This window comes from Homo sapiens, chromosome 7 (genome assembly GCF_000001405.40).
Source record: "Homo sapiens chromosome 7, GRCh38.p14 Primary Assembly".
NCBI lineage: Eukaryota > Metazoa > Chordata > Mammalia > Primates > Hominidae > Homo > Homo sapiens.
In genome coordinates, this window is record NC_000007.14 from 86,977,079 (window position 1) to 87,001,404 (window position 24,326).

The window sequence follows — 24,326 nt, forward strand, 5'->3', positions numbered from 1 at the left end:
TCAAATCTCAGTCAAGGTTGATGAGTGTGGTGGTGATGATAGCTGCCACTCATTAGTGATACATATCAATCATTGTGCTAAGTTCACAATATCTTAGTGCTGTCGACCACCTTGTAAGGCAGAGTTTTTACAGATAAGGAAACCAACAAAGATTTAAGTAACCTCCCAATGTCATAGAGCTGATTTATAGGGGTTCTGGGATTAGAATCTAAGTGCCTAACTCTAAAGCCTGTCCTCATGACCATTATAGTTCCCGTCCTGGATCCTAAGAGCTAATGTTAAATCTAAAAACTTCATAAACAGAAATCAGAATAAAAGCTGATGCCTCATTATTCCTCCCTGTACATCACAGAAAGCAGAATTTGGCTAGCAACATCCCCTTTCACCCAATCTCTCCCCGTATCTCTCAATATCATGTCTCTCCCTATATCATACCTCTCCCTGTACTCTCAATACCATAACACCACCCTGTCTCCTGAGGAATCAATAACCTCAAAGTAAATTTTAAAATAATTCTTCACAAGTTATCTGTTCCAAAATAGCTTTACTTTCTACCACGTCTTCTAATTCCTCAGCTTTGTCTGTTTTCCTACATCAGTTTCAAAACAATATTTAATATTTTGTTTTCTGATTACAAAGCAATACATATTCAGTATGAAGAGTTTAGAAAATAGTGAAGCACATAAAAACCTATCATAATATCATCAACCAAAAATAACCACAGTTAGGATGCCAATCATTTTTCTAAGCACATTTATTTAAAAATTAAGATACCCTTTATCATATCAAGTTTATATTTTGCAAGTAATAAGTATTAACATTTACTTGAGAAAATTAGAAAATATGGATAAGGATGGCTTTTCAATGGCATTCTCTTTGTTCATATTTTTAAAAGTTATATATTAATATGTCATGGTCACTTCCTGATATGGTTTGGCTCTGTGTCCCCACTCAAATTTTACTTTTAATTGTAATCGCCATAATTTCCACCTGTCAAGGGTGGGACAAGGTGGAGATAATTAAATCATGGGAGCAGTTTCCCCATGCTCTTGTGATAGTGAGTGAGTCTCGTGAGGTCTGATGGTTTTATAAGCATCTGGCGTTTCCACTGCTTGCAGTCATTGTCTCTCCTGCCACCCTGTGAAGAGGTGCCTTCCGCCGTGACTGTAAGTTTCCTGAGGCCTCCGCAGCCATGTGGAACTGTGAATCAATTAAACCTTTTTCCTTTATAAATTACCCAGTCTCAGATATTTCTTCATAGCAATATGAGAACAGACTAATACACTTCCAGTAAGAAAATTAAACATTTATCTTTTCACAAAATATAATACACATCTCTTCATCTAGGAATAAATTAAGAAAAAATATAAGACACACTGGTTGGGAATTATAAAGCCTATTTGCCTTGCTCTTTTCACCAGTACTTATGGATATCTTTCTTTTGTGGGAAAAATAAAGGAACATTTTCTCAGTGCTCTCAGGCCCTTCTCCATGATTCACTGCAGAAACTTCAAGCAGGCAGATTGTTTATAGTCTAAGAAGGAGGCTGAGGCAAGAACTTGATTATCATCCCAGCACCATCATTTTTCCAACTGTGTGCCTTAGGAAGGGCACTCAGTGTCTCTGAACCTCAATTTCCTTGTCTATCTGTAATAAGATTGTAATGCCTTACACCTCTTTATCTTGTAAGGCTATAGGAATAAATATACATGGTAATATTTAGGCTTGAGTGCCAAGAAAACTCTTAATTATTGTGTTTCAGGTCATAAACTATACTAGACACCAGGAAATAATGACTATAACTGTATATTTTTTTGTTTGATCCTTGTGGCAACACTGTGAGGCAGGTACTGACACATTTCCTCAATTCTGAAATGCAGATTTGAAGACTTTTGAAACCACATCAAAAGAAACTTGTCACTAGCTTTGCAGAATAAGTGTCAGAGCCCATGCCTATGCAAATTTAATAGGCCAACTATGCACTCATTTTGTTATCACTTCAGTTACCTGTATCACAAGAGTTGGATTTACCTTTAACTTTCTTTATAGCATCTGAATAAAGATTGCACAATGATGCAGCAAAGAGACCAAAAGTTAATGTATACAAAAGATTACCTCTGCCACAAGAGGTAATATAATTAAGAGGACAAAAGTTGCCAACTCCCCGAGAAAAGACCACGTTAAGTTTAAAAGCTAGAACACAACCACTTCATGCATCTTGAAGGACTGTCACTCAGATACTATCTGCCAAACACTTCTGAATAACTCCTAAGAGACATAGTTTAACTACAGGTGACAAAATCGTAAGTGTAACCTAGTAGAACAAAGAAGCTTTTAGGGGTATTTATAAAAAGAGCTCAAGTTATTCACAGTAGGGAAATATAAATTAAAGCCTAACAAACAAAAACAATAATAGGAAATGAGACACCAGTCCAGCCCTAACTTATGGGATGCTGTTAAAACTAATTGATTAAGTACATTAATTGGCAGATGCCTAAACCCAACTAAGCTAGAGCATGAGCTCACAAAAGACTTGACATGAGTAAAGCCAGAATGTGGAGAGAATGCAAGACAGGGTATAGAGTAATAAAAGAAGAAAATTGGGGAGATACTAATATGGAAGGCAAGACAGAGGTAGTATCAGGTCAAGCCAATGCGAGCTAGGATCCCAAGCACAGGTTTAGAAAAGAAACATGTCACCCAATCTCACAAACTGCCCACGGACAGAAGTAGCTCAGGAGACTCCCAGGGGTGTCCAAGGGAGAGAATACAGTTGTGGGTTCTTCGTTTCTGTTTCTGGTTGGGCCAGTAAAGCCCCTTTCTCATCTCTTTTTTCCACTTATCACTAGAGACAGAAACTAAAAATCATGGTTTCAGGCTGCTAAAAGCCTAAAACAAAACAAAACAGAACAACAACAAAATAATGTGGGCTGGACAAGCTTGCTAGATATTCCAGGCAAAAGCACAGACTTGGTCTTTGACAGAGATATTAAAGAAGAAATTATACAAAATTAAGTGGATACACTTATACTATTGTCGGTTGGAAAAAATTATTGTACATTTAACAGAGTGGCAATTTCTCTCACTTACCAAAAAAGGTAATAAAACTCTGGTACGTTTTAGAATAAATAGTGCCTTTGAATTAAGGAAATATGGTATTGAGAGAAATCTGAGATTCCAGGTTTCTGACATCAAACAGTATGTGTGAGGCAAAGCCAAGTGCCAAAAATAGCACAAGAACAATTCTGTCTTTGCTGTATTACAGTTACTAACCTTAGCAATTTACTTACTAACATACATTTGAGGCAGTTCCCTCTTTTATTACTTGCTTTTAGTACTTCAGCACTTCCTATCTCAGCTGGATCCCCACCCGCTTTCTGCAGTCTTTACGGACACCTTCCCTAGTCAGTTCACCTTCCCACTCTCCTCATGACAATTCTAAAATTGTTTCAAGCTCAGTCCCTTCACTCTCTACAAATAACCTTGCATTCTACGTTGACAAGAATATAAAAGCTCTCTAGGCATTAGTTTCCTCAAATTGTCTCCCATCTTCTGTTTGGGCATGCACAGACTGACAAGCATGCCTCCTTCCTGTGGGTCTCAAGTACTAAAGGATCCTTCCTACTCTCCAAAACAAGTATCTCTGCCAGTTCTTCCAATCTCCTCCTCTCCTTAAACGTGTTCCTTTCATTCCATTAATTATTCTGCCTCTTTCTTGCTTTGGTAATGCCTATCTCTCATCTGGCTCTCCCCTCAACAAATAAATGATTAACGTTTCCCCCATTATTAAGAAAATAAAACAGCATCTCCACTGATCCTGCATATTGGTGGCTCACCATTTGCTCTTCAGATCCAGTCTCCAAGGCAGGCCTGGAGAGGCTGACCTTTCTGGACTGTATCACTCAGGCTCCTTTGCACTACAGATTCTGGGTGTTCATCTGATGGGAGGCATCAGCAGGAGATTAGAGAGAGTTCTCTATCTCCTTTCTGCCTTCCACAGCCACTGAGCTTCCAGAACACCATTTCCTCCACTTGCAGAAGAGTCAGATCTACAAGTGCTAACCAGTTGCTGCTAGCTCTTCACACTTCTGTTGTCGGTTCCCTTAAATTGGTCCATACCTCCATAAAAAGTTTCTTCATTAAACTCTATTCAGTTGAACTTTTGCATAAGCCATCTGTTTCCTGCTGGGACTCTGTGATACATCTCACGCCACTCTCTAGCTCCTTTCCATTTCTTCCCAGCTGTGCTTCCTGAAAGACTAGTCTGGGCTCACTAACTGCCATTATCATCTGTCATCTACACTTCAACTAACTGTGATCTGGCTTCTGCCCCCTCATGAATCCACTAAACTGATCTGTCTACTGTGGTATTCTAGATCATTTATGATCTGGTCCTAACTACCTCCCAGCTATTCCTCCCACCATCTGCCATTAAACCATGTGCTCAAACCATAACAAATGTTTCTAGCTGTCTTGGAGGATCTTACATGGTTCCCTCCACTTGGAGAGTGCTTCTCTGCTTCAGGCAACTAATGAACCGCTAGTCATGTGCAAGCCTCAACTCAGGAAGCACCTCCTTCTGGGAATACTTACTTCCCTTACTTTCTTCAGTTCCAAGATAGCCAAATAGGAACAGCTCCAGTCTGCAGCTCCCAGCGTGATTGACGCAGAAGACGGGTGATTTCTGCATTTCCAACTAAGGTACCTGGTTCATCTCATTGGGACTGGTTGGACAGTGGGTGCAGCCCACTGAGGGTGAGCCAAAACAGAGTGGGGTATCACCTCAACTGGGAAGCACAAGGGGTCAGGGGATTTCCCTTTCCTAGCCAAGGGAAACCATGACAGACTGTATCTGGAAAATCAGGACACTCCTGCCCACATACTGCGCTTTCCCAATGGTCTTAGCAAACGGCAAGCCAAGAGATTATATCCCGCATCTGGCTCGGCAGGTCCCATGCCCACAGAGCCTTGCTCACTGCTAGTGCAGCAGTCTGAGATCAAACTGCGAGGCGGCAGCCTGGCTCGGGGAGGGGCATCCACCATTGCTGAGGCATGAGTAGGTAAACAAAGTGGCCAGGGAAGCTCTAACTGGGCGGAGCCCAACGCAGCTCAGCAAGGCCTGTTGCCTCTGTACATTCCACTTCTGGGGGCAGGGCATAGCTGAACAAAATGGAGCAGAAACTTCTGCAGACTTAAATGGCCCTGTCTGACAGCTCTGAAGAGAACAGTGGTTCTCCCAGCATGGTGTTTGAGCTCTGAGAAAAGACAGACTGCCTCCTCAAGTGGGTCCCTGACCTCCGTGTAGCCTTACTGGGAGATACCTCCCAGTAGGGGCCGACTGACACCTCATATAGGTGGGTGCCCCTCTGGGATGAAGCTTCCAGAGGAAGGATCAGGCAGCAATATTTGCTGTTCTGCAATATTTGCTGTTCTGCAGCCTCCACTGGTGATAACCAGGCCAACAGGGTCCAGAGTGGACATACAGCAAACTCCAACAGACCTGCAGCTGAGGGACCTGACTGTTAGAAGGAAAACTAACAAACAAAAAGGAATAGCATCAACATCAACAAAAAGGACATCCACACCAAAACCCCATCTGTAGGTCACCAACATCAAAGACCAAAGGTAGATAAAACCACAAAGATGGGGAGAAACCAGAGGAGAAAAGCTGAAAATTCTAAAAAACAGAGCACCTCTTCTCCTCCAAAGGATCACAGCTCCTCGCCAGCAACAGAATAAATCTGGAGGGAGACTGACTTTGACAAGCTGACAGAAGTAGGCTTCAGAAGGTCAGTAATACCAAACTTCTCCGAGCTAAAGGAGGATTTCAAACCCATCGCAAGGAAGCTAAAAACCTTGAAAAAAGATTAGATGAATGGCGAACTAGAAAAAACAGTGTAGAGAAGACCTTAAATGGCCTGACGGAGCTGAAAACCATGGCACGAGAATGACGTGACACATGCACAAGCTTCATTAGCCAATTCGATCAAGTGGAAGAAAGGGTATCAGTGATTGCAGATTGAATTAATGAAATAGAGCAAGAAGAGAAGTTTAGAGAAAAAAGAGTAAAAAGAAATGAACAAAGACTCCAACAAATATGGGACTATGTGAAAAGACCAAATCTACATTTGATTGGTGTACCTGAAAGTGACGGGCAGAATGGAACCAAGTTGGAAAACACTCTTCAGGATATTATCCAGGAGAACATCCCCAACCTAGCAAGGCAGGCCAACATTCAAATTCAGGAAATATAGAGAACACCAGAAAGATACTCTTCGAGAAGAGCAACCCCAAGACACATAATTGTCAGATTCACCAAGGTTGAAATGAAGGAAAAAATGTTAAGGGCAGCCAGAGAGAAGGTCGGGTTACCCACAAAGGGAAGCCCAACAGACTAACAGCTGATCTCTCAGCAGAAACTCCACAAGCCAGAAGAGAGTGGGGGCCAATATTCAACATTCTTAAAGAAAAGAATTTGCAGCCCAGGATTTCACAGCCAGCCAAACTAAGCTTCATAAGTGAAGGAGAAATAAAATCCTTTAAAGACAAACAAATGCTGAGAGATTTTGTCACTACCAGGCCTGCCTTACAAGAGCTCCTGAAGGAAGCACTAAACATGGGAAGGAACAACTGGTACCAGCCACTGCAAAAACATGCCAAATTGTAAAGACCATCGATGCTAGGAAGAAACTGCATCAACTAATGGGCAAAATAACCAGCTAACATCATAATGACAGGATCAAATTCACACACAACAATATTAACCTTAAATGTAAATGGGCTAGATACCCCAATTAAAAGACACAGACTGGCAAATTGGATAAAGAGTCAAGACCCATCAGTGTGCTGTATTCAGGAGACCCATCTCATGTGCAGAGACACACATAGGCTCAAAATAAAGGGATGGAGGAAGATCTAAGAGGCAAATGGAAAACCACAACAACAAAAAGCAGGGGTTGCAATCCTGGTCTCTGATAAAACAGAGTTTAAACCAACAAAGATCAAAAGAGAGGAAGGCCACTACATAATGGTAAAGGGATTAACAAGAAGAGCTAACTGTCCTAAATATATATGCACCTAATACAGGAGCACCTAGATTCATAAAGCAAGTCCTTAGAAACTTAAAAAAAAGACTTAGACTCCCACACAATAATAATGGGAGACTTTAACACCCCACTGTCAGTATTAGACAGATCAATGAGACAGAAGGTTAACAAGGATATCCAGGACTTCAACTCAGCTCTGCACCAAGCTGACCTAATAGACATCTACAGAATTCTCTACCCCAAATCAACAGAATATACATTATTCTCAGCACCACATTGCACTTATTCCAAAATTGACACACAGTTGGAAGTAAAGCACTCCTTGGCAAATGTAAAAGAACAGAAATCACAACATACTGTCTCCCAGACCACAGTGCAAACAAATTAGAACTCAGGATTAAGAAACTTACTCAAAACCACACAACTACGTGGAAACTGAACAACCTGCTCCTGAATGACTAGTGGGTAAATAACACAATGAAGGCAGAAATAAAGATGTTCTTTGTAACCAATGAGAACAAAGACACAATGTACCAGTATCTCTGGGACACATTTAAAGCAGTGCGTAGAGGGAAATTTATAGCACTAAATGCCCATAAGAGAAAGCATGAAAGACCTAAAATCAACACCCTAACATAACAATTAAAAGAACTAGAGAAGCAAGAACAAACACATTCAAAAGCTAGCAAAAGGCAAGAAATAACTAAGATCAGAGCATAACTGAAGGAGATAGAGACATAAAAAACCCTTCAAAAAATCAATAAATCCTGGAGCTGGTTTTTTGAAAGATCAACAAAATTGATAGACTGCTAGCAAGACTAATAAAGAAGAAAAGAGAGAAGAATCAAATAGAGGCAATAAAAAATGATAAAGGGGATATCACCACCAATCCCACAGAAATACAAACTATAATCAAAGAATATTATAAACACCTGTACACAAAAAAACTAGAAAATCTAGAAGAAATTGATAAATCCCTGGACACACACACCCTCCCAAGACAAAACCAGGAAGAAATTGAAAATTGAATCTCTGAATAGACCAATAACAGGCTCTGAAATTGAGGCAATAATTAATGGCCTACCAATCAAAAAAAGTTCAGGACCAGATGGATTCACAGCCAAATTCTACCAGAAGTACAAAGAGGAGCTGGTGCCATTCCTTCTGAAACTATTCCAATCAACAGAAAAACAGGGAATCCTCCCTAACTCATTTTATGAGGCCAGCATCATCCAGATACCAAAGCCTGGCAGAGACACAACAAAAAGAAAATTTTAGACCAATATCCCTGATAAACATTGATGTAAAAATCCTCAATAAAATACTGGCAAACCGAATCCAGCAGCACATCAAAAAGCTTATCCACCACAATCAAGTTGGCTTCAGCCCTGGAATGCAAGGCTGGTTCAACATACGCAAATCAATAAATGTAATCCATCACATAAACAGAACCATCGACAAAAACCAAATGATTATCTCAATAGATGCAGAAAAGGCCTTCAACAAAATTCAGGGCCCCTCATGCTAAAAACTCTCAATACACTAGGTATTTTTTTTAATACTTTAAGTTTTAGGGTACATGTGCATAACATGCAGGTTTGTTACATATGCATACATGTGCCATGTTGGTGTGCTGCACCCATTAACTCATCATTCAACATTAGGTATATCTCCTAATGCTATCCCTCCCCCCTGCCCCCACCCCACAACAGGCCCCAGTGTGTGATGTTCCCCTTCCTGTGTCCATGTATTCTCTCAATATACTAGGTATTGAGGGAACATATCTCAAAATAATAAGAGCTATTTATGACAAACTCACAGCCAATATCATACTGAATGGGCAAAAACTGGAAGCATTCCCTTGGAAAACTGGTGCAAGACAGGGATGCCTTCTCTCACCACTCCTATTCAACATAGTGTTAGAAGTTCTGGCCAGGGCAATCAGGCAAGAGAAAGAAATAAAGGGTATTCAATCAGGAAAAGAGGAAGTCAAATTGTCCCTGTTTGCAGATGGCATGATTGTATATTTAGAAAACCCCTCACGCCTGTAATCCCAGCACTTTGGGAGGCCGAGGCGGGCGGATCACGAGGTCAGGAGATCGAGACCATCCCGGCTAAAATGGTGAAACCCCGTCTCTACTAAAAATACAAAAAATTAGCCGGGCGTAGTGGCGGGCGCCTGTAGTCCCAGCTACTTGGGAGGCTGAGGCAGGAGAATGGCGTGAACCCGGGAGGCGGAGCTTGCAGTGAGCCGAGATCCCGCCACTGCACTCCAGCCTGGGCGACAGAGCGAGACTCCGTCTCAAAAAAAAAAAAAAAGAAAACCCCATTGTCTCAGCCCAAAATCTCCTTAAGCTGATAAGCAACTTCAGCAAAGTCTCAGGATACAAAATCAACGTGCAAAAATCACAGGCATTCCTACACACCATTAACAGACAAACAGACAAATCATGAGTGAACTCCCATTCACAATTGCTTCAAAGGGAATAAAATACCTAGAAATCCAACTTACAAGGGATGTGAAGGACCTCTTCAAGGAGAACTACAAACCACTGCTCAACGAAATAAAAGAGGACACAAACAAATGAAAGAACATTCCATGCTCATGGATAGGAAGAATCAATATCGTGAAAATGGCCATACTGCCCAAGGTAATTTATAGATTCAATGCCATCTCTATCAAGCTACCAATGACTTTCTTCACAGAATTGGAAAAAAACTACTTTAAAGTTCATATGGAACCAAAAAAGAGCCCACATTGCAGTCAATCCTAATCAAAAAGAACAAAGCTGGAGGCATCATGCTACCTGACTTCAAACTGTACTACAAGGCTACAGTAACCAAAACAGCATGATACTGGTACCAAAACAGAGACATAGACCAATGGAATAGAACAGAACCCTCAGAAATAACACCACACATCTACAACCATCTGACCTTTGACAAACCTGACAAAAACAAGAAATGGGGAAAGGATTTCCTATTTAATAAATGGTGCTGGGAAAACTGGGTAGTCATATGTAGAAAGCTGAAACTGGATCCCTTCCTTACACCTTATACAAAAATTAATTCAAGATGGATTAAAGATTTAAATGTATGATCTAAAACCATAAAAACCCTAGAAGAAAACCTAGGCAATACCATTCAGGACATAGGCATGGGAAAGGACTTCATGATGAAAACACCAAAAGCAACAGCAACAAAAGCCAAAATAGACAAATGAGATCTAATTAAACTAAAGAGCTTCTGCACAGCAAAAGAAGCTACCATCAGAGTGAACAGGCACCCTACAGACTGGGAGAAAATTTTTGCAATCTACCCATCTGACAAAGGGCTAATATCCAGAATCTACAAAGAACTTAAACAAACTTACAAGAAAAAAACAAACAACCCTATCGAAAAGTGGGCAAAGGATATGAACAGACACTTCTCAAAAGGAGACATTTATGCAGCCAACAGATACATAAAAAAATGCTCATCATCACTGGTCATCAGAGAAATGCAAATCAAAACCACAATGAGATACCATCTCACGCTAGTTAGAATGGCAATCATTAAAAAGTCAGGAAACAACAGATGCTGGAGAGGATGTGGAGAAATAGGAACGCTTTTACACTGTTGGTGGGACTGTAAAGTAGTTCAACCTTTGTGGAAGACAGTGTGATGATTCCTCAAGGATCTAGAGGTAGAAATACCATTTGACCCAGCGATCCTATTACTGGGTATATACCCAAAGGATTATAAATCATGCTACTATAAAGATATATGCACACTTATGTTTATTGTGACACTACTCACAATAGCAAAGACTTGGAATCAACCCAAATATCCATCAATGATAGACTGGATTAAGAAAATGTGGCACATATACACCATGGAATACTATGCAGCCATAAAAAAGGATGAGTTCATGTCCTTTGCAGCGACATGGAGGAAGCTGGAAACCATGATTCTGGGCAAACTATCACAAGGACAGAAAACCAAACACCGCATGTTCTCACTCATACTTGCGAACTGAACAATGAGAACACTTGGTCACAGGGTAGGGAATATCACACACCAGGGCCTGTCGTGGGGTCAGGTGTGGGGGGAGGGATAGCACTGGGAGAAATACCTAATGTAAATGATGGGTTGATGGGTGTAGCAGACCAGCTGTATATGTATACTTATGTAACAAGCCTGCACGTTGTGCACATGTACCCTAGAACTTAAAGTATAAAAAATATTCAGGAAAAAAATTAAAAATAACAATTCCACAGTAAAAAAATGCAAATAAATAAATAATACAGTATAACAACTATTTATGTAGCATTTACATTGTATTAGGTATTATAAGCAGCCTAGAGGTGATTTAAAGTACATGGAAGGATGTGAGTAGGTTACATGCAAATACTATGTCATTTTATAGAAGGGACTTGAGCATTGGAGGATATTGGTATCTACTAGGGGTTCCGGAACCAATCCCCTACAGATACTGAGAAACAAGTGTATCCTAGGCAGTACAACGATCATAGTAACTGCCATTACTCCTACAAAACAGTTTAAAGACAGTTTTCAAAAAGTATGTGTCAAAACGATAATAAAGTATTCTTGATATGTTTACCTTGAGTGTGCCTGACCCCCTCCCCTGGAGAATCTAAGCAACCAAGAGAAAAGACAATGCCATCTCTTTCTAAATCTCATAGAACCGATCATGCAGCCTTAAACTGCACACAACTGATTCACAGTACATGTTTTGTTGCATGAGACAATGAACAAAAATATATCCCACTCATCCAAAAATAAATTTATCTCAAAGTTTAAAAAAGACAAAGTGAAAGCCTAATGAGTAAATTTACTTTTCTTTCATGCATACCAAGCAGTTCAGATAGAAACTGACCCAACCTAACTTAGAGTATTATAAAACCATAAGTAACTATAAATAAAAATTGCAAAGATCCTTCATAAATAATAAAATATTCTCATGCTATTAAAATAAAACAAACACATGAAGACTAACCAATCATCTATTTTTATAAGTTTATCATTAGTGAGCCACCAGATTATAGACTTTTTTTAAAGATGCAATTTTAATCAACATTGACTTTATTTCCCTTTTAAATTAAGCAGGCTGTATGTGCTAGGCTCCAAATCTCTGTTTAGCTATAATAAAGAGAGTAAAATATGCACATACAAAATACGTGCATATTTAGAGATTAGAGATTCTTGCACATTGGCTTTTGTCTACCTTGGCTCACAATTTCAGAAAGCCCAGAGCAGACAGGTGCAGTGGGCTATAGACTGCTATTGCTTCTCCAAGTGTTCTGAAGAATTGTAAACGTAAACAAGTATACAAGAATAGAGAGTGACATTTTAAAGGTAACATTTGCACGTATTTTAATCCTTTATATTTAAAGAAAACAGCCGTGCCACTGCCAATGTGACTTACTACCACTTATGCAGAGTGGCTGAAATGAAACTTTCGAGCCAGATTTGATTTTCGTTTTTAGCCCACACTTGATCTCCACATGGCAGCTCTGGCCACCATTTCTGATGCTTGTTGTCTGCGGCTGCGTCTTCGCCTCAAGTTTCAAGTGGAATCCCTTTATTGAGCTCTGTTCTTTAAATTGAAATCTTAAGGAGCAGAAAATTAACAAATATTGAAATATAATAAAGATACAAATTTTTTTATTTTTATATTTTTTATATTTTTATTAGTGTAGAAAAAAATTATAAGTCCCTAAAATTCAAAGTTATTAGCCTCTCTATTCAGCATTAGGCAAAATTAAAGGAGGAACTTTTGGTCAAATAGTACCCTAAGAGTTGCTGCTATGTTTGTTCCCTCCAAAACTCACACTGAAATTTAATCCCCACTGTGACAGTATTGAGAGGTGGCGCCTTTAAGAGGTGATTGGATCATGAGGGTTCTGCTCTTATTTTTTTTTTATTTTTATTTTTTTTGAGACAGAGTCTTGCTCTGTCCCCCAGGCTGGAGTGCAGTGGTGCCATCTCGGCTCACTGCAACCTCCGCCTCCTGGGTTCATGCCATTCTCCTGCCTCAGCCTCCTGAGTAGCTGGGACTACAGGCACCTGCCACCACGCCCAGCTAATTTTTTTGTATTTTTTAGTAGAGACGGGGTTTCACCGTCTTAGCCAGGATGGTCTCGATCTCCCGACCTCATGATCTGCCTGCCTCGGCCTCCCAAAGTGCTGGGATTACAGGCATGAGCCAGGCGGGTTCTGCGCTTATGAATGGATTAATGGGTTATCATGGGAGTGAGACTGGTGGTGGCTCTATAAGAGGAGAGACCTGAGTGAGCATGTTGGCACACTTAACCCCCTTACCATGTGACCAGCAAGAAGGTCCTCACCAGATGCCACCCCTTGACCTTGGCCTTCCCAGCCTCCATGATTGTAAGAAATTACTCAGTTTCAGGTATTTTGTTATAAGCAACAGAAAATGAACTAAAAGAGTTCATTTCTTCACATGAAGAAATGATCCTTGTAAATCTTAGTTTCTTAAGAATTCAAGGTATTGAGCTAGCAGTTACTCTTCTCAGGAAGATTAAAAAAATGGTTCAGAGATTATTTTTTCTGAGGACCACAAGAGCACACAGAACAAACAGCAAAGTTAGAGAAATAGCTAGTGGGCCAAGAGCCTTATTTCAGCTTAAACTTATACAGTTTGTGATTCTCATCATAAAATATTCCTTTCTTCAGTGTTCACAGAAAAGAAGCAATACGCTCTCCAACTGCTAACTACAAGAATTTATTTAATCTCCTTGGGATATATGCTTCAACTGCAAAGCATCTTATGGCCACAAAGCTTGGAAAGCAGGTCTGTCAAAGGAAACTGGGGTTGTTCCTTTAATCTATATGGTATGTTTGCCACTAAAAAATTGAATTTATTTATCTGAGCTGTAAATGAACACACCAGCACTGTGTTTATTAATCTATCATTGTATATATGGATGGACAGATTTATTTATAAATGTATATTTATATCCATCACATATAATAACAAGCAATGAGCACTACAGGTAAGATACAGATTAAGGGCTATCAGTCCCAAGAACTACCAAAGTGCCTTCACAGACTTGGCACAGAGCAGCTTTGTGGGTGACCATATCAGGTGATTGATGTATCAGGTGAATGTTGATGATTTATTTTACAGTTGAAGGAACAAGCATATCCATGTTATTTAATAACTGTGTTACTGAATAGCTGGCCAGTCAAACATTCCACTGGGTCAAACATTCCAAGACACCTTGCTCCCAAGGCTGAGGTCTCATCTAGTATACAACATTGTTCTCTTTCCAGTAAAATTGGTTCTCACCTCCAGATTTCTTTGTTTCTAGTGATATTACCATCATAGATGTGGTCTACCAGAAGAATTTACAGTCTTCTACTTTCAAAACACACACACACATGACTTTTCTGATTATGAAAGTAATTAGTAAGTTATTGTTGACAGTTGAGAAAATTTGCCCCAACTCTATTATACCAGGGCAGTCACTGGAATAAGCCAGGCAGTTCAGAGCCAGTTTGTTCAAGCAAGAAACAAGCAGTCCAGAGCTTGTTTAAAGGCTCCATGAAGTCATGAGGCTCCTTCTGTCTTCCTGCTTTATCTCTCTTGGCTTCCATCCTCCAGGTCACCTCAGCATCCAAGGTGGCTGCTAATGTTCCAGCCATTATATTCATGTGACAGTCAGCAAGACAAAATTAACTAAAGAGAAAGTAGAGAATGTGTGCTCTCCCTCTTTTAAAGAGCCTTCTTGAAAATCCCATCTGAAGCATCTGTTTACATTTCATTTGCCAGAATTTAGTCAATGACCACAAGCTATAAAGAAGCCTGGGAAAGGGTGCTTTAACTAGGCATGTTGCCCAGGTTTCTGTCACTAAGGAAAATGGGGATAATAGATATTGAAAGCAAATTACATCATATGCTTTTTCCAATGCATAAATCAAAATAGTGTCATCAATACAGGAAAGGGAAGTAAACTGCTGCTACAACAGGAAGCTGATTTTTTTATGGCTCCTGGCTAGGCCTGGTAGCTAACATCTGTAATCCCAGCACTTTGGGAGGTCAAGGCGGAAGGACTGCATGAAGTCAGGAGTTTAAGACACCCAACCCCCAACCTGGGCAAAACCCTATCTCTATGAAAAAAGTTTAAAAATTAGCTGAGCATGGTGGTACATGCCTGTAGTTCCAGCTACTTGGGAGGGCTGAGGCAGGAGGATTACTTAAGCCTGGGAGTTTGAGGCTGTAGTGAGCTATGATCGTGCCACTGCACTCCAGCATGGGCAACAGAGCAAGATTCTTGTCTCAAAAAAAAAATAGCTCCTAATAAATTTCTTAAACTGAGTATTCCAAGATATCAAAAAATAGCTCCTAATAAAAGAAATTCCTAAAACTGAGTTTTCCAAGATATAATTCTAGAATCTTCAGTCGAGATCAAATCCAAATAAAATGGATATTTATCATTACCTTATACTAAATAAGTTGGACCCACATTATTTCCTAAACTACATTCATATGAAAAAAATAGGAAAAAGCAACTTTAACTAAGCTCTAATCTGTCCTCTCTGTCTTTCCCAGTAGAGTCTGATCACATTAAATGAAAAGGTGAATTTATTTCTATTCATGCTACTATGGGGACAAAATTATAAAAAGAAGTTTGTCAAATGTCTTAACTGATGTTCTGATTCAAAATAGCTAGAATGTTCAATTTTGGAATCCTTCATCGATTTGAAAATAGTTAAGGAATGTCATGATCATGATCCTCTATCATCTTAAAAAATGCAACAACTATAAAAACTACAGAGATTCACTGAAAGTATAAAGAAAATCTTGCCGGGCGTGGTGGATCACACCTATAATCCCAACACTTTGGGAGGCCGAGGCGGGTGGATCACGAGGTCAAGAGATCAAGACCATCCTGGTCAACATGGTGAAACCCTGTCTCTACTAAAAATACAAAAATTAGCTGGGCGTGGTGGCGCGCACCTGCGGTTCCAGCTACTCAGGAGGCTGAGGCGGGAGAGTTGCTTGAACCCGGGAGGCGAAGGTTGCAGTGAGCCAAGATCGCACCACCGTACTCCAGCCTGATGACAGAGCGAGACTCCATCTCAAAAAAAAAAAAAAAAGAAAAAGAAAAGAAAAGGAAAGAAAAAGAAAAAAGAAAATCTTACAAAATGAAGTGACTGGAACCCAGAACTGAGTTCACTTAACCATCCTGCAGTAATCACATACCACACAATAAGCACTAGGAATATGACAGTGAATGAGACATAGCCCTGCCCTCTAGAGGAACAAATAGAGGAATCAAAGAGATGAGTTATTTCAATACAATACAATACCATTATTACTGAGTGAAGAAATCCAAAAGGAGGAAGAGAATTAGCCATCTAGGTTATTAAAATAAGAGGAATCTTACAAATATTTGGAGGACAGCAAATTACCTACTGATGCTGATAAATCTCTTTTGAAAGACTGTTTTACATTAAGGTTGAGTTAAATTAGAATTATACTACTGCCTTTCATTTTCTTTTACCAAAAATGGATGATAAAACTGTAATTGAAACTGTTAATGTCCAAACCACTTGCTGATCATTCCAAATCCTCTATAATCTAGTCCTGAAAGCCTTCTCAAAATCCAACTTGTACACAATCCCAACACTCCAGACAAACTAGTTTAATTACTAACTTCTAAATGAATCACAAGTTCATGTGTTCCCTCTATTATGGACAAGTTTCCTCTACTCACCACATACAACACACACATACAGCCCATTCAGCTAAATTACTCTCTTCCTATGAACCTATTCAATACCTCTCCTCAATTGAATCTTTTCCAAATCAAAATCTCTCTTTGATCTCTTTGAGCCTTTTAACCTATGCCACTGACATCATTCCTCAGATTTCCTTTCTTATTGCAAAACTTATATTCCTGGCCAAATTTTAATCTCTTTGGGAGCAGGTATTTAGTCTTATATCTCTTTGTAATCCTCTAAGCCTAGTAGCAGATCTGTTTAATGAATATTGATACTTTCAGTAATTATCTGTCATATCCCTTTACTTTATACACAGAGGGAAGGGCAAAAACATAACCTCAGAAATGAGATGCCCACTTGAGAAATGAAGAAACAACATTAGAGTTTCCTTTCTTCCAAACACACAGAGTTGACAAAGATAAGCTTAAAACAGTCTCTTGATTTAGGAGGTATAACAATGAGTAAATAAAAGTCATTTATCAAGTGCTTCGGAATTTCTAGATAAACATTGTCAAGTTAGTAATGTATAAGATCATCATCAATCATCTTAGATGCTTAAATCATGTGGCAAAATGTAAATAAAATGCACATCCCTGAGAAACAGCCCCACTAACACATATACTTTTTAAAAACTGAGTTGGTTAAACAATCCTTGTCTATTGTCTAAAATATTATGAAGTTTTCATTTATGGTTCCTTAACACCTTATAACAAGAAAGCCATTTCTGAAAAATTTCTCCAGTCACTGAGCTTGGGCAGGGTGGTTAGTTTCATTGCTAAGCCAGTAAAAGTAAATTGATTGGTATCTTAGGAATTGATTGGAGGAGTGGTGGTAAGAAAAAGTTGACTTAGTACTTTAGCTGGTACTAAGAAGATATCTTAGTTTTGTAGACACATATAGGAGTAATTCAGCCTAGAAATCAACCCCTCTATGACCCAAGTAGAAGAGACAGGGCTACACTTCCTGACCCATACTTCATTCATTCTTTAAACATGATAAGTATCAATGTATCTGTTAGAATACCTTAGGTTACAAGTAACAGAAAAAATCCCACTCAAAATGGTTTTAAAAAGAAAACCGAGCTTTTTTATATAACAAGAAATTACCAAGATAGGAGAGTTTCCAACACTGACTGATTCAGTGGCCCACAGATGTCCTCAAGGACTCAGATTCTCTTTTTCTTACCAGGGCTAGCTTCATCCTTAAACTGGCAACAAGACAGCTGTAGTAGTTTCAAGCGTCACCTTCAGGCAAGACAGTAGCCAGACAAAATAATCACCTCTTTCAATTTTTCTTATGATTAAGAAAACTTCCCCTCACTTCTAATTGGCCAAGATAGGGTCATGCTCACCTCTAATCACTGTGAAGGAAAAGATCTCAATGATTAGCCTAGACCAGCTGTCAGCGAACTATTACTTAACTCAGCCATTCTAGAGGGACAGATAATACATAAATGAATAAGAGTGGCTGTATTACAACTTTATTTATAAGAACAGGTAGAAGGCTGGATTTAGTTTTCTGTAGTTAGCCGAATTCTAGTTTAGACTAACAGAAACTACTAGAGTTGTGTATAAAATATTTTCCCAGAAGCACATAGTAGACACATAAACAAAATTGAGGTAGAAGAAAGCAAGCTGGAAGGGCAACTGGTTTTGCTATTAATATAACGCGTTTTGCAAGCTATATGATGCAATAACAACGTAAGACCTGGCTCCCTGTTATCCTCCTGTGATTTATTTTCCTCTTTCAAGTGTTATAATAAAAATATAAAGTGACTTACCCTAGTGATCTGGAAATGGGACAAGAAGAGTGGAAGGTAAGGTTAGATTCAAGAAAAGTGATATAACAAGCGAATAAACTTGAAGGATAGGAGAGGAGTCATTAAAAGAAATTCCCTCCCCCAGGAGTTTATTTTTATAGATTACACTATTTTTTGAAGAAATATTAAGTATATATTACTAGTTAAAATTCACTGAGTACTTACTAACATGCTAGCATAGTGCCATATGATTTACATGTATTATCAAATTTAATTTCACAATTCTATAAGATATATTCTCCATGTTACAGAAGAAACACAAGTAACGTGGTCACAATGATAGTGCAGGGAAGCCAAGCCATCTGCTTCCCAGAGCCAAAACCTTAACACAATGAAGCCAGCCACTGAGCTAAATGCAAATGTGAGGGAATTGAAGGAGAATAAGAGAGAAAAGATCTTCCCCTTTGGGAAACTTACATCCTAGTTAAAGAGACAAAAAAAAATTGACAATTAAAATAACAGATTACCAAGCTATGATACAAATTGGAAACAAATTAGGGTGCTCTGAAAGAGAAAAGAAGGAGAGCTCTACTTTAAATAGGGTGCCCAGGGAAGGAGGTATTTATGATATGACCTGGAAGATGAGATGGCACCAGCCATGGTTGGGGAGGAGCTGTCAGCATAGAGGAGAAATGGACCAACAGGAGGAGAAGCCAGCCACAGAGAGAAGGAGCCCAAAGAAGAGCATTCCCGGCAGAGGGGGCAGCCACTGCAAAAGCCCAGAAAAAGAGGAATGGATATTTGAGGAACAAAATGGCAGCTAATCTGACTACAGTTTTGGGGAACAAGAAGAGTATCATGAAATGAGAAGTGGAGAGGCCAAAACATGTAAGGCCTTAGATATCTTAAAACGGAGATTGGATTTTATCCTCAGTGAAATGGGAAGCCATTAAAGAGTTTGAAGCAGGGAGATAATTTGAAATAACTCTCATTTCTTAAAAGACCACACTGGCTGCTATACAGAGAACAGAAGTGGAGGTATGAAAGTAACGACACCACTTAGGGGGTTGAAACAGTTTTCTAGGTAAGAGATGTAACTGGCATGGCCTAGGCTAGTGGATTCCAAATGTATTCTGTCTTAGGAAACCCCTTACGCCATGGCTATCACTCCTCATCTCTCCTTCCTCCCATGCCTGGCAAACACTAATCTTTTTATCCTAGATACATTCTGAAGGTAGAACAGAGAGAAGCCCAGGACCAGCACCTTAAGTCAGAAGTTTTGATTGACTAAATCCCGAAGTAGTGCCAATGTTAAGTATGAAACTAACTTCATCAAAATCCAAAGTCACAAATTTACCTGTAGGCAGTGTTTACTTTTATAAGGCTTCTAAAAATCACTTATATACTTTACATGTCCCTCTCTCTGATCCTGTCACTAATTTTTCCAAGTAGATATCTATCCCTATGTTTAAGGAAGGGGAAAAAAAGCTTAAATTTTTTGCATGTTTCATGCTTTGTGTAGATTTAGAATAAAGTATCTGGAGGATTTTTGAAAAGTTGTTATCAAACGAAAGAAGCTGGCAAGTACCCTAAATACATTTAAATAATATTCTCCCTGCTGAATGGATGGCATTCATATACAAACTTAAATGAAAGCAGATGCCCATCACAAAAAGAAGCCACTATGGTTCTCCAGAGATTCTCATATAAGTGCTAAATCTGATTTCAACTTCAAAAGAAGATATCAGAAGCTATCAGCCTCCGCCTCTGTTCATCCTCCACCTCTCATACGGAATTACCAGACCTAAAGAGCCCCAGGAACAATTTTAATGTTCAGCATTAAAACATTAGTAATATTAGATAAGCATTACTTATCCACCAATTTCTCCATACTTTAAAAAAATTTAGGCAGAAGCAATTCAACTGGCATGGGAAGATGTAGAGCCATTAATAACACCTTCACTTAGCCTGCAAAGGTGATAGGTTTTCAGATCAAGTCAAGAAATTCAGATCTTCTCCAAAACTGATTACACCCCTGAGTCTGACTCCAGAACCATCATGAGCATCCATTCCCACCATGGTCTCCGGACCAAGGGTATCTTTGGTTCTGTTCTAGATCACATGTGTTCTAGATCCCTCACAGGTTACAGAAGTATCTCAGTCAAGTGTTCTTCTAGTCAGTTGTATCACAAAGTGATTTGCCCTATACATCCTAACCTGAGTGGTTAGCTATGGTACTGAATTACTGTTTATAAAAAGCCTTTCGTATGTTTTCACATAGGAAACACCATGTATGCGATGGGCATCCCAAGAAGCAAATTAGAGGGTAGCCAGACCCACTCTCTGGGAGCTGAAAGAATTACACAACAATATGTAAAGGTAGACAAATAAAAGATTAAATTATCACTAACGGGAAGTCTAGAAAATGCATGTACATATTTATCAAAAAAAAGTACTGTTTCCTTGTATACATGGCATTGCACTTGAGGATATAAAAGAAATGTAAGTATAAACCCTACCCCTCAAGAGATCACAGATGAATACAGAAAGTTCTGAATTCATCAAGAAGGTATTCTAGTTAAACAATGGTAATATGAAAACACTCAAATTTATCTTATTATATTCTCACACAATTTGCACATACCCTTCCTTTAGCATTTAAAGTATTTTATCATCCATTAGCTCACAGTGATCTCCACTGCAAGTCTTAAAAAATGGTGAACGATTAAGAAGCATTTTCTGTATTTTTATGAAGAAAGACATGAGGTTCACCGATGTCAAGCGATTTAGCTTAATGATGGTTATAGAGTAGTGGAGCTAAAATTCAAATCCAGGGCTTCCTAACTTCTGCATCTAGTCCTGAGTTTCTCAACAGTGAAATTCTTGCATTTTGGGGCAGAGAGTTTGTTGTAGGAGGGTTGCTCCATACATTGAGGATGTTTGGCAGCATCCCTGGCCTCCACCCACAAAATACCAATAGCTGCATAAATTTCACCCCGGTCATGACAATGAAAAATGTCTTCAGACATGTCAAATGTCTGTGGAGCATCCTCCGAGTTGAGACCTATTCAACTAGTTCACTTTCAGGGTTCTGTTCAAAGTAATAGAAACTATGCATTTGCCATATATGGCAATTCTGATCAATTTTTCATAAACCAAATTTTTAAAAAATCTATTCTACCAATTCTTTTTAGAATTCCATAAATAGTTCCTTGTTTTTTTTTTTCAAAGAACCTGAGAAACTGTAATGCCTCGTATCAACAGTAACATCAAGCTATAGATATAGGAAAATGGCAATTAATAGAGTTTCCATTGATGGAGAGCTATGGAGCTTTCAAGGATTAAAACAGCCTTTTTTTCTTAAACTTATTTATATATTAGGTAAAGAAAAAAGTATCAAACTGGTTTCTTCTCCACTCCATCTCTTCCTATTTCAGGTGTTATACATATTTTATAGCTGCAGAAGGGAGGTAAAAGGAGACAAGTTACAAATTACCCAGTCAATATCACCCAAATGAAAAAAAGAAAAAAAAAGATAAATCCCCGTGCTTTCCTTGGCATTTTCTAGTGGGCTACATAATAACATCAAACATGTAATCCACTTAATTTGGGCAAGGTATTCCGTATTTTGATCTGCTAGAATTTTTTTAAAAATTAGTTTTGTTTTAATCATTCTATTATGTATTTTGCTTTGCTGTAGGAACAAAGAAACCTTTCCAAGAAAAGCCCTAGAAGGGAAATAGTAAAATTAAAAATGTAATACCCCATCAGTAATTTTTCTAGGGTAACTCTTAACTAATCTTAAGTGAAATATTCTATAAGTTATCATCTTGACAATTCAACTACAAAAATGGATTGGGTACATAAAATGCAGAGTAAAGAATAAAAATGATTTGAAGTAGGAAATTAGGTCAATTAGCAAATAGACCATTCTGCTTCTATTCACTAGAATTATGCAACAGCTTCTGGAGGCAGCATACTCAGATTTATCCATAACATAAAGTGGATAAACCCTCTTTAGGGAAAATTAAGCAATAACTAGCTTTGTCTATGGTAGAAACATTCAGTGCAGTTTCAGCCCCATATTTTACCTGTATTTTAAGAGGATGAATCTAGAGTATATTGAACAGATTCTATTCCTCCATGTGAACTCATCTGTGGCTTGAAATCATTTGATGGCATAAAGCACTAAGGATAAACTCTTTGCATTTCATAACAAAGACCCATACACATGAGATGATTCTCATGCATATTTCATCTGTTTTAAAATCAGACTAATTTCGGGTCTAAATGTCAACACCTAGAAAAGATGATGCAAGAATAAAAACAGTGCCATATGGAGCCCCCTGAATTTAACTGAAAAACACCTCCAAAGAGCCAGATTAACCTCACAGAACACACCTTACTGTCCATAACCAAAGCAAAACGCTGCATGAACTGTGGAAAGTTAAATGTGACATTTGATGACCATCCCTACAAGCCATCACACCCCTCTTTGTGAAACTATCCTGGTTAATACGCATCATTCCTCTTTCTTAGGAAAGGACATCTTTAAACACACACACACACAAAAGGAGACGTATGCAAATTAAGCCATAAGGCAAAAGTGTCACATCCAAGGTAATTGCAGTCTTCATAGCTGGCTATTTAGGAAAAGCCTTTCCCTGCTCTCAAACCATAGACTGAGACCAAGCCTTTCCTCTGGGTGGTTTTCTACATCAGAAAAGAGAAAGTTCCCAAACCCCTTTCCCAGTAAATATTAAGGTGTCATGTAAATACAATTCCTGCCAGAGATGCCTGAAGTTGTCTAGAAGAGCAGCCTGGATTTATCCTCTGGCCCAGACTCTGCGTCTGACTCAACCCTGCAATGTCACCAATTTGCTGGGGATTCTGAGCCAGGCATTTATTTTGCTGCTGCTGCTTTCATTATTCTGCCTTTGCTATTAACCTAAGCAAGTGCCAGCTCCACTCCATGTGTTGTGCTGAATATACAATATAAGACAAACCCCACATGCTGGCTTCACATCACAAGCTTCAGTTTGTTAAATACAAACACAGGAAAGGCATTATCATTTCAGTGTTTTCAATCACAAAAACAAAACATCATCTACTGACCCCTATCAAAAAGTAGCTATGTTGCTAAATTTCTGGCAAAGCTGGTGTGTCCTACAAAGAGAGCTGACCTGGAACAGTTGCACATTCTGGAGAGAAGAGAGGGTAACAGAACAGAATGAGACATTTAAATCTCAGTTCTGTCTCTGACTAGATGTATGACCTGGGAACTTTACTTCTCTGAGCTTCTTCTAAAAATGTTTCTTCATTTATAAATGGAAATATTGTAACTCAGAACTGTGGGGAAAATTAAATAAGATCATGTGTATCAGGGATAATACTGCATTGTGTATTCTTATCCTCCAAAATGAGGTTCCCTGGAAACCATCCTAACATAAAGGAAACCTTGGTCCACCCGGAAGAAGTAGAAAGCCTACTACATTAGACCTCCAGCTGATTGTGAGGAAGAAAGGAGGGAGACAAGCAAATAGTGAGACACGTGTGTTTAAATATCCCTTGGTTAAGCTAGTCCCAGAGAGAGTAGAGGTGATATTATAATGGTTGAAGGATAAGCCAAAAGTACTGTGAAAAGCTCCTGCCTAGCTTCCTGTTCAGGACTCTGGGATGAATCAGACCATTTCACCAGTCACCCCCACAATAATCCAAGAAAGCCGTGAGGTCAGTAGGAGAAAATGTCTAAACGTGCAAGCTCCAGC

General features: G+C 39.0%; 1 protein-coding gene across 8 annotated transcripts in view, besides 1 other annotated feature; it reads right to left on the reverse strand.

The window, feature by feature from the left end:
- The window catches only part of ELAPOR2 (endosome-lysosome associated apoptosis and autophagy regulator family member 2), a 182,749-nt gene that overhangs the window by 100,173 nt on the left and 58,250 nt on the right, over positions 1-24,326 (reverse strand). Inside the window, exon 1 of one of the 8 annotated variants that reach the window (XM_047420042.1) lies at positions 4,594-4,609. The exons of the other annotated variants lie outside the window; for them this stretch is intronic. The gene's annotated coding sequence lies outside the window, so the exon portion shown is untranslated. Of the gene's footprint in view, positions 1-4,593; positions 4,610-24,326 lie in introns of those variants that run through there. 8 annotated transcript variants of the gene reach the window in all.
- Positions 1,958-2,047: a silencer, noted in NCBI's record as "silent region_18340". NCBI's record gives its function as "represses an Ori minimal core promoter by ATAC-STARR-seq in GM12878 lymphoblastoid cells {active_cell/tissue: GM12878}" and the evidence as "EXISTENCE:reporter gene assay evidence [ECO:0000049][PMID:35858748]".